This window comes from Homo sapiens, chromosome 2 (assembly GCF_000001405.40).
Source record: "Homo sapiens chromosome 2, GRCh38.p14 Primary Assembly".
Taxonomy (NCBI): Eukaryota; Metazoa; Chordata; class Mammalia; order Primates; family Hominidae; genus Homo; species Homo sapiens.
In genome coordinates, this window is record NC_000002.12 from 140,455,651 (window position 1) to 140,467,698 (window position 12,048).

At 34.4% G+C, this 12,048-nt stretch overlaps 1 protein-coding gene across 4 annotated transcripts in view; it reads right to left on the reverse strand.

The window, feature by feature from the left end:
• The window catches only part of LRP1B (LDL receptor related protein 1B), a 1,899,594-nt gene that overhangs the window by 224,228 nt on the left and 1,663,318 nt on the right, over positions 1 to 12,048 (reverse strand). For all 4 annotated transcript variants that reach the window (NM_018557.3, XM_017004341.2, XM_017004342.1 and 1 more), the window contains 2 exons: positions 1,813 to 2,001; positions 805 to 953 (listed from right to left, as the gene is read on the reverse strand). In NM_018557.3, coding sequence (NP_061027.2) covers positions 805 to 953; positions 1,813 to 2,001 — 338 coding nt within the window. The remainder of the gene's footprint in view (positions 1 to 804; positions 954 to 1,812; positions 2,002 to 12,048) is intronic.

Here is a 12,048-nt window from a genome sequence, read left to right on the forward strand (position 1 = left end):
GGCAAGCTGAGCTAAATTTAGCTTCTCCATTTTGAAGATAAAAACAATCCAAGAGAAATTCAGTCTCTTGCAATGAAATCATTGCTAGTAACTAGAAAATCAGCAAACTCAAACATAGAATTCTAAAAATACATTTAGTCATTTTAAAGACAAAATATAGTTTGACAGTTTTATCTTAAATCCAACAAGATAGTGGCTCACGTGTTACAAAGTACAGTTTTACAATGTCATATGACTATTGTCCAAAATTTGAAAGTAATAAAATCAAGTCCATGCAACTACCATACAGTAGACAAGTTAACTCCTGGGATATCTTCAACTGAGAATAATTAAGTTTTAAAGAAAAAGAGGTTTCAGAAGAAAGTTATTTTGATCACATGATTTATTTTAATAAAAACAAAATCTAGAGACTTACTCTCTATTGAATTTATCTTTCCCAGATCACCTACTCTAAGAAATGGAGAGTGGGGACAGTGACATGGAGCAGATTATCTTGAGAGATTTCCTGCTCTGTTTAAACTCCACCTCCCTTTACCCACTTAGGATTTGAGTCATTATTTATGTGGATCTGTGAAATAATTTTTTCTTTTCTTTCTCTCTCTTTTTTTGTTTGTTTGTTTCCTTTTTGGCCTTTATTTATTCTTCCTAATAGCTAAGGTCCCATTTTAATGAGATGTTATAGTGTTTTCCTTTATTCTGTGACCATCTCTACAATGTATGGAATGATCATTCAATGTTATGCTAAACAAAAGAGCTGATGTTTCACCATACACTCTATAATAAGATTCCCAGACCTCCACTCACCTGGCTGGCTGTGCAGTTGGATAAGCAAGTCCTATTATCAGCTGCCAGATAGAAGTTAGTGGGACATGCACAAGTGTGGGTTTTTCCAGGGGCTAAAAGGCACAAATGACTGCAACCACCATTATTTATCATGCAGAGATGTTTGGAGACTAAAGATAAGAAAGAAACAACAACAACAAAACAGGATAATCAAGACTAATAATATAACATGGGATTAGAGATAGGACTTTTAAGCTGCATAACTTGAATTAGAATAAATCTTTGTACTCAAGAACTCATCAAGACTATAAATATAATTTTACTTTGTCACAAATGCTACTCATTGTCCATTGACATTAATTCTACCATTCAATAATTTTAAAGGTGCATTTCTACAAAACAAAAATTTTAGTAGAAAAAAACTGTCCATGAGAAAAATAAACAAAGACTAGAAGCATTTTGGATGAAGACAAACATATGTTCAGAAATACAAACATAAAATAAAACAATGAAACAATGATCTACAACTACTAGTGTAATGACTTTGCTTTATAGGCCGGATAGGTTTTTTTAAGGAAAATAATCAAACCTTTATTTCACAAGGCCAGATGAAATTCCTATTAAACATATGCTGAAGAAAACTTGATAGAGTTGTCAGTTTTAAAACCCTAGAGCTACTTAAGCATAATTCCTCCTACTCAGCATTTCAGAAACTAAGGATCCTCTATTTTGTAAACAAATTATTTCAAGAATACAGTCTTCACTTATCTGACTAAATGCATTATTATCATTTTAGCTTAATATGAGTTGAACAAATCCATAATTCTTTGTCCTATTATTGAGCTTCTAATCATATGCCTTAAGAGCAGTACTTCATATTGACTGAATTCTTCCATAAAGTGATGCTAAATAATTAAATCTAGTAATCTTCATCAAAAATAAAATTACATTTAACCTTGAAATAATAAAAAATGGAATGTTACTGAAAGATGTTAATGCATTTATGGAAATCATGGAAAGAATAATTACCATCAGGTTGTCTATAAGAATGATACACCTGGATATCTGTGATGGCATGCCATGAGTAAATCAGTGAGAGTCTGTCTGCTCCCGATGTTTTATGGGCACGGCTGAGTGACTTGGTTTTCCCATCAGTCCAGTAGATGTAGTCTTCAAACAATGTTAGTGCAATCACCCCTGGAATATCTTGATTAGGGACTGTAATAGGAGATGGTAAGATTAATGTTCAGTCTTGGAAGACTGCCAGTTAAAATATTCAATACTACATGGGCTGACAGATACAACTGCTACATAACTTCGTGTGAATAATTGCTGTGACAACCTGTCAGGCCAGCAAAGTTCTTTATTACCAGTTAAGAGAATGCAGGATTGGGCACAGGAGCTAGCTTTGCTCAGATTTAGCTTGGTTCAACCACTGGAAAAAAAAATGAATGTGATTCTTTCACCATTAAAGCCTGCTTCACCAGAAACAAATACCATCCACCATTTTAAAATTCATAATTGATATATTTATGTGTGTGTGTGTGTATGTGTGTATATACATATACATATACATATTTACATATATACATATATATCTCCTTCTGGTTGTTCTTAACTTAAATACCTAAATCTAAAGATCATTGCCCTACTTTTTTCACATGTAAAATGATTAAATTATAGATCCTGGAAGAAATGTGTCTACTACCTGGAAATAAAGTGGTTATGAAACTACTATAAACCTTTTCAGCCACTGAGATTTTATGAGCACTTTTACTTGCAAGGTGAGATGGGATGGGGTAGAGGGAAATAAGTGTGGCAGATAATAATGTATTATGCAAATTTAATAGTCATAAAACAGTTTAGTTGCAGATTAAAAATGTTTTATAATTATTCTTCCTGATGTTTAAATGTAAACAGTAGAGTGAGCATCACAAATGTGAATTACTCATTTGAGTGAATCCAGGGTCCTATCCAGTAAATAAGATATGGTAAATCTGTTCAGTGGTTTGGGTTTAAATAATTTTAAACTGTGATAGAGTTTTCTTTGTGCTTCTATTTTCTCAAGACTGACAAATAATAAATGGAGAAGATGAAAATTCCCTAACTTATAAAAACGTACTATTTCTCTGTACTAATTTTGAGATGTACTTTTAGAAATTCTGACATGTTCATTAATGAGAAAAGGTACTATATTTCTAGTAATATTTACTTCTTTCTTAATTAGATTTTAATGACTGAAAATTAATGTTTGGCATATTCCTCATTCAGCAGTAACTGAAAAACTATCAAAATTTCAAATACAATTTACTATTTATAGGAAGCTTTACAGCCTTATTTTTTAAATGCTGGGTAAATTTATATTATCAACTAAAGTAAATATTTTAAATTTTTTGATTTTTTATTTGTATTCTGATAGGCCAAATGTTATCAGATAATTCACTACAACTAAAAGACAATAGAAATAAAAGAAATAAAATTAGAAACCTCAACATAAGTCATATATTAAGTCACTGAATACTTTCATAATATAAAATCTAGCTAGAAATTCATCTCAGAACAGATACTAATCATATGAAGGATGTAAACATTTCAAAAATCCAGATTTGTACACTTTAGATGTTTTGAATTTTGATGTAAAAATCTAGATGTGCACACAACTTAATTATCGATGTACTCTTGCAGACATAGATACCATTACTAAAATAATAAGTGAAATTAGAATGAAAAGGACACTTTACTATAATTAATTATGTGTGAGCTATTTATATAAACTATTCCCACCATTTTTCTTTGACTGTATAAATTCATACAAAAAAGATAAATGTGGCAAAATGTTAATAATTAATTGAATCTTGGTGATGGGTGATTATTATAAGAGCCTTTCACCTTATATGTAGATTTCAAGATTTTTAGAATAAAATAAAAATTTACAGGAAATGTTGAAAGCCTCAAAATATTTAATGTGAATCTCGTTAGATGCAAAGGTGATAGTTAAATCATTAAATATGGGCTCAAAAAGTTAATCATCATTTTTAACAATCTCAATCCATAAGAGATTCAGTTTACTTTTGTAAGAAAAATAAAGTTATTGTAAGAATCTGCCAATTAGCATTTCAAAAGGAAGTCTTTTTAATTATTCAGCAGTAACTACAGGTGATATTTATTAAGCACTTGGGTGCACAAGAACTAGGCCAGCGGGAGAGGCAATTTATATATTTTATTTTATTTAATACTCTCAAAAACTCTATTGTGCAGTAGTAATGATATGGTTTGGCTCCGTGTCTCCACCCAAATCTCATGTTGAATTGTAATCTCCAGTGTTGAGGGAGTGATCTGGTGGGAGGTGATTGGATCATGGGGGCGGATTTCTCCCTTGCTATTCTCCTGCTAGTGAGTGAGTTCTCACGAGATAAGTGTGTAGCACTTCCCCCCTACACTCCCTCTCTCCTGCTGCCATGTGAAGACATGTTTGCTTCCTTTTTGCCCTTCTGCCATGATTGTAAGTTTTCTCAGGCTTCCCCAGCCATGTCTCCTGTACAGCCTATGGAACTGTGGGTCAATTAAACATTTTTTTCTTTATAAATTACCTAGTCTCAGATAGTTCTTTAGGGCAGTGTAAGAATGGACTAATACAAGTAAAGTTCATTTTGCAGATGAGGAAACTTAGATGTGGAAAATTTAAGTAACTTGGCAAAAGAGGGGTAGAAAAAAACTAGTAAATAAAAGTACTGGTATTTGAATCTTAGCTCTCTCTGGAGTGTGCTCTCTGGCCATGTGATACTCTTCCACCATGGGATGACACCGGATGCCAGGGCCATGTTCTTGAATTTTCCAGCCTCCAGAACCATGAGCCAACTAAACTTATTTTCTTTGTAAATTACCAAATCTGTAGTATTTTTTCATAGCAACAAAAACCAGACTAAGACAGGAAGTACATGGAGCTAATAAAAAATCACCATGAAATGTGAAGGTATGAAAGAAACATTTAACAAACAAACCCTTAATTAATGCTGAGATGTCGTTAAATTTAGGGGAAAAGTAGTCACTGTTGCCTAAAAATGATGATGACTATCATTTTTAAGAGAAAAGTTATATGACCAGTTGTCTGTATAAAACTGCAGTTGTCTATATAAAACTGCATTTGCTTAACTAACAGAGAAATGTGAAAAGTACATTTAATAAATCTTTCATTTACAGGTATTCAGTAGACACACAAAAAAGAATAAACAGAGCTGCTGTGTGGGCTGTAGTTTCACAGGTACTGACTATATATCTAAAGCCTATTTAAAAGCTGCTTACTATAGTTAAGTCTCTATTCAGTGTAACAGCATTATGTATTGTACTGTTTCCAGAATTCCACTCAAGCACTAGGTTCCTAATTTTTATTTCATAGACTATATCTTTCAGAAGAAAAGGGTTGATATATGGCAAAAATAAATAAATCAAAGAAATACTTCTTTTGGGAGTTTTTCCCTGAGTCGAGTTTGATGCTATCCTGCTAAAGCTCAATGTAATTATGACAAATAGAAAAAGTGGCCATCGCTTGAACCCGGGAGGTGGAGGTTGCAGTGAGCCAAGATCGCACCACTGCACTCCAGCCTGGGTGACAGAGCAAGAGTCTGACTCAAAAAAGAAAAAAAAAAAAAAAGAAAGAAAGAAAGAAAAAGAAAAGGTGGCTATCCAGAACATGGTTTTGGCTTAACTGTTGCCTCACAGCTTGAATATACTCTATTACAATACTCTTGATTATTCATTTTTTTAGTTAGCATTTATCATGCTAAATAAGTATATTTCTGGGTAATATCATTCTAAATTTGTTTTTCTGACTAATCTACTTTAAATACTTAAGAAACGAATGCCCCAGTTACACCGTTCTCAGCTTTTTTTGAGTTAAAATCTCATAGTTAATGTTATGGGAGGATACAGCATTAGGATATTGGTAGCTTTGACAGGGCTTTCTGCACTGAGTTAGTATGTCAATAGACATTTCACTAGTAATACTATCTTATTTTCCATTCTTTATCTCCCCATATTTACTTTAAGAATCTAAATGTTATCTTAAAATATTACTTTATGCCCAGCAATCACTGTAATTTATTATTTAAAAATGACTATAGGCCAGGCGTGGTGGCTGACACCTGTAATCCCAGCATTTTGGGAGGCCGAGGCAAGCTGATCACCTGAGGTCAGGAGTTCGAAACCAGCCTGATCAACATGGTGAAACCCCGTCTCTACTAAAAATACCAAAATAGCTGGGCATGGTGGTGGGTGCCTGTAATCCCAACTACTCAGGAGACTGAGGCAGGAGAATCCCTTGAACCCGGGAGGCAGAGGTTGCAGTGAGCTGTGATCGCGCCATTGCACTCAAGCCTGGTTGACAGAGCAAGACTCCATCTCAAAAAATAAAAAAAAAATAAAAGGTTATAAAGTCTTTATTCATATTTTCAAAAGTAAAAAATAGGATATAGAATGCAATCACCAAATTCTGCTATTACTTTTATGAAGGAATCAAGTTTACAGAGTAACATGAGCTTAGAATTGACTTACTTGAGTTATAAAGAGTTTATATATTGATTTGAAGGAAATACCTAAACAATCAGTGATCCATTAAGGTCAACTTATGCTTCACCCTATGACTATGTTTGGAAAGGTAATCCCCTAAAACTTTAAAATTTACAAACATATCAAATCAAACATTAAATCCTACTATCTTTTTCTTTTTAATATATTTTAAGACACTCCCATTTTTTAAAAGAATTCTTGCTGCCATTATCCCAAGTAAAGGCTCATATCCCCTCACACCAGGAATACTGCAAAATTATTCTAACTTGTCACCTTATTTTTAATCCCTTCCAATCTCTTTTATATTAGTCAGAATTGCTGCAGAAAATAGAAAACATATCTTTAAATGATAGTTGCAGAGAGTTTAATAAAGAATTATTTATAGAGATGGACATGCAAAGGTACAAATCATGCATTGCTTTTTACCAGGTCTGTTACCAGAAGCTAGTGAAAAATGCAGCTGAGGGGAATAAAGCCATCCAACAAGAGCAGTGGTCTTTAATAGACAGGCTCAGCCACTGCTAAATCATTATAGTTGAGCGTAGATGGAAAGGGGATGAATAAATATTCTGACTTCCTTTTCTGTCTGCTATCTAATGTCCTTGCAATGCAATTCATGGAGGAAATCCAACTTGATGTGGAAAGGTAAAAGAGCCTGGGTGAGGTAGTCCACATAAGTCAGCTTTCTGGCACAGGAAGAGGGCAAAGAGGCAAAGCCAGGATAACTAGAACTCCCACTAACTAATATTTCTCATATTTTTTTCATCTAACATATATCTTCCCAAATCAAAAAGCATCCATGACACCATTCTCTGAGTAATATGGTGCAGACTATCTAGCTTGACTAAAACACCATCTGTCTTCAGAAGAGAGAACAAAGTATGCTCATTGATCCCCTCTTTTGAGAGACCCTGACACTAATAATTTCCCCTGATATTTTTCTGGAAGAATAAGAGCACAATGAGATGTGTAGAGAAGATAGGGCATGACTTAAAGTAGCATAGTGTGAAAAACAAAAAAGAAGTGATGAGAAAGAAAAACAATTAGCAGTGAAAAAACGGGGTGAGATTAAACAAAGGCTATGAAAAACTGCAGTCTGGTAAACAGGATAATATTAGATGGCGGTAGAAAGTGATTTAACGTGACAAAGAAAGTGGAAGATTCATGACAGTGGCCAGTGGGAGGGTGGGTGGATAATGGTTTCTAGTTGATGAAGAGTGACAAAGAGTGGGTGGGTGGGAAAATGGCCAGGGTAGGCTAATCTCCAGAGAAGGATCGTGGAGCCAGAGCTTTAGTTAAAAACACCTGGGAAAGAAAGATCATGCTTTATATAACCTTAGGGCCAAGGACATTTGTTCTCAGCTAATAATTATGTATGTCTCCTTTGGTGTTACTGTGCAAACCATTTAAAAAAATTATTTCCTGAAACCTACAACGAGCAGCTCTGAAGTGTTTTGTTCAATTTTGGCCTCTGTGAACATTTTGCCTGCTTACCCTTTAATGCAATCCTACTTGATAGTAACAAACAGTATCACAAATAAAACTTAGGCACCAAGGTCCAAAATCAATTTTTCAAAACAAATAAAAGCATTAAGAAATGACAGGAACATGAAGGATGGCCAACATTTCCAACTGTTATGATAGAATATTGAAAGTTTATTTTTCCGATATTAAATATCATAGTCCTTCAATGAGATCTTGCTGGGATGGAAAGTAGCTTTTCCTTTTAGTATAGGTCACAGTGCAGGAAGATCAGAGCTGACAGTGCCTGAAAGTAGATTATATGCTAACTTTTGAAGAGTGATATTGATCAAATGTCCAAAATAAACTTGTGTCTCTCCTTAGTATAGTAGTTTATACTGGGACACTTAAATAAGTGTAATACGTAATGTGGAAGCATAGAAATTAATACTGTGGCCAGGAGTGGTGGCTCACGCCTGTAATCCCAGCATTTTGGGAGGCTGAGGTGGGCAGATCACCTGAGGTCAGGAGTTCGAGACCAGCCTGGCCAATATGGTGAACCAACATCTCTACTAAAAATACAAAAATTAGCCAGGCGTGGTGGTGCATGCCTGTAGTCCCAGCTACTCGGGAGGCTGGGGCAGAAGAATCGCTTGAATCCGGGAGGCAGAGGTTGCAGTGAGGCAAGATTGTGCCACTGCACTTCAGCCTGGGTGACAGAGCAAGACTTGTCTCAAATAATAATAATAATAATAATAAATAAAATAAAAAAAGAAATTCATACTGTATTTAGAAATCTTTTTCAGATTTAAGCCATTATTAGAGCTGAAGGCATCCATGGCCCATTATTTTCTAGTATTTCTTGCCTCCACATTCTCATTTCAAATAATATGTACTCTCCATATAGATTAGGAATATTAGATTTAACATCATTTAATCTCTTCCTTTCCCTTACCTATTTTTAAATTGCTTATAATAGAAGGTCAAATATAGCCATTTCAATATTCACCATCCAAAGAGTATTCCTGTTAATGAATGTGAAGTTTTATAAAGCAGACTGTCTAAACTGTAGTACACTTGTTTTGAAAACAAGACTGACTAAAAATACTTTAGTAGGATGATGACAATTCTCTCTAACCTGTGAAGTAAACAAAGCAACATTGCTTCATGCACTTGGTAAAGTATATTCCTTTTGCTTCGAAACTTTCTGGGCCATTGTGCTAGTGATAAATCCTTCACAGTACACAGAAATGTGATAGTCTGAGCCTGACTATAAGTACTTACTATAAGAATTATTATATTCAACACACATATACATAGGAATTTCTTTGTTAGAGAGTCTTAATAAAAACTGAAGCCTTTGAAAAGCATTTGCCTCTGGGACACATATCAAGTATAGTTGTTTACATGAGTTTAGTATCTGGTCTTCTCATATTCCTGCAATTATAAATATATTTCTAAAATAAAAACGTAGAAGAGTGTAACATATTACAAGCATTTTCAAATGTGTTGGCATTAGACCATTCTGGCATTTCTACAAATAAATACCTGAGACTGGGTAATTTATAAAGAAAAGAGGCTTAATTGGCTCATGGTTCTTCAAGGTTTACAAGCAGCATGGTGCTGGCATCATCTGTTAGGCCTCTAGGGAGGCGTCAAGAAACTTATAATCATGACAGAGGAAGAAGGGGGACCAGACACATCACATGGCAAAACAGGAGCAAGATGCACGTGGAGAGGTGCCACACACCTTTAAATGACCACTATCATGAAGACAGCACAAACCATAAGGGATCTGCCCCATGACCCACCACCTCCCACCAGACCCCAACTCTAGCACTGGGGATTATGATTCAACAAGAGATTTGGACAGGAAAAAATATCCAAACTGTATCAGTGTTCTAGGTAGTCCCAGCAAAAAGGAAGAGTAAGTGAGAGAATTGATAGAACAGTCCTCCTCTGTCCTAGATTCAACCTCAGCCAAATTCCCGTTAAGAAATGTTAGAGAATCACTGAATGAATAGAAGCCCTATTCTATGAATAAGAACAATGCACAATAGTCTGGCAAAGCAGCATGCCTAAATTAGGAAGTAACTGGACCTGAAGTAAACCTACTGATCCCTAATCTACTTATTCTTTTCGCACACTCCACCCCTTGTATTTGGAATAGATGAGGCTGTTGAAAATGACTGAAAACTCAAATGAGGGTAATACTTAAAATGTCCCTATTTTTACAAGCATGTGGCACTCATGACATTTGCAAAAAAAAAAAAAAGAAAAAAACTCCCTAAACATATATGCAAATTTAATGTATTCAAGGGACAAAACTGAAAGACATGATTGACACTGAAATTCTAAGACATTTTAGAAATGGCAGTTAATTTCAATTTATTTTACTGGTTTAGAAACATTTCTATAGTAACTGAATTGTATTTTGCTCCCTTCCATTAACTTTTATTGTATTGTAAACAGCAGCACATCAACACCATTGGTATAAAATACCCTGTGAACTCTACTGTTTGTAATGGACTGTGAATGATAGAATTTTTTTTTCAAAAGTACTAAAATGCAATATCTTACCAAGAAAGAAACACTCTAGAATATTATAAAATAGTGCAGGTCGGGGGGTGGGAAGTATTATTTCAATTTCCTCTTTTCTTTTTTCTTTTTTTTTTTTTTTTGGTGGGCTACAGTGGATATCTAAATTTTCTAAAAATCCAAATGCAAGAGCTATTGGGTTTCGGAATATGTGAACACAAAATATTCTATTTGTCTCTTTCAGTGTTTTTATTTTTGTCTTCAGAACAAATTCTTAAAACATATTTCATGCCATTTCACCAGTAACATGCTGAGATCTAGATTCCTTTTTCCAAAATTAATTAGACTAACACTGCATGGGTTATGATTTAGATTTTTAAATCCAAACACAGAACTGCCCCCTCACAACACAAACTGGATTCCAGAGCAATAAACAAACAATAGAGTTAGACTACAATATTGACACTTTAATATGAGGCTCTTCAGGTCTAGGGGTATAGAAACAGTTATCCTTTAAATGACGAGCTGTAGTGAATATAATTGCTAGAAATTTTAAACAATTTTGCTCACAAAATATAAAAGAGTTCAGTGGTAAACTATAGTTCAGAATCATACCCAACTATTACTGTTCAGAGAAAATTAACAGTTAAGAGTATAATTTTTTCCAATATGCTGGATAAAATATGTACATAACCAACTGACTTAACACAAGGTTAAATAATTTTTTGATACACTGAAGAGTATCCTGAAAAAAACAATTTATTGGAACAAATAAACTTAAAAACTCAAGGTCAAACGTAACTTTTTCTTAGTTCGCCCTTTTGTTATTACTGTTCACACAGTATTTTCAGCCTTTTCTTTTCCAAAATACTACCTACCTGCCTAAAATATCTGAAGTTCAATGGCACAAGCAACCAAAATTGAAAAGAACTAAATCTGAATTTATTTACTTTGATACAAGTGGTCAAAAATAAACTTCAGTCAAAATAGAATTTTCTAATATTTACCTTTCTTTTCATTAAATGGAAAATGAAATCTCTAAGCTAAGGTATATATGCAATGTTATTTCTAAAATTTTTCTCAGGAGATATTTTTTGTTAATAGGCAATCCATTCAGAGAAGGCTATACTTTTTGAAATGCATAAAATCAATAAAAAATCTCAAATTTATAACAAATTTTTTCTTATATTCAGGGAATGTAGTTACTTTAACATAGCAAACTCTAATATGCAACTATCCCACTAAATCATGGTGCTATGGTCTTAACGTTGGTGTCTCCCCAAAATTCATATGTTGACACCTAATATCTCATATAACAGTATTAGGCCTGGTGCAGTGGCTCATGCCTGTAATCCCAGCACTGTGGGAAGCCAATGTGGGTGGAGCACTTGAGGTCAGGAGTTCAAAACCAGCCTGGCCAACATGGTGAAACCCCATCTCTAGTAAAAATTAAAAAAAAAAAAAATTTGCTGGGCCTGGTGGCAGGTGCCTGTTAATCCCAGCTACTTGGGAGGCTGAGCCAGGAGAATTGCTTGGACCCAGGAGGCAGAGACTGCAGTGAGTCGAGATCAAGCCACTGCACTCCTGCCTGGGGGACAGAGGGAAACTCCATCTCAAAAAAAAAAAAAAAAAAAAAGTCTTAAAAGGTGGAGGTGGAGGCTTTGAGAAGTGATTGTCATGAGAATTCTACCCTCATGAGTG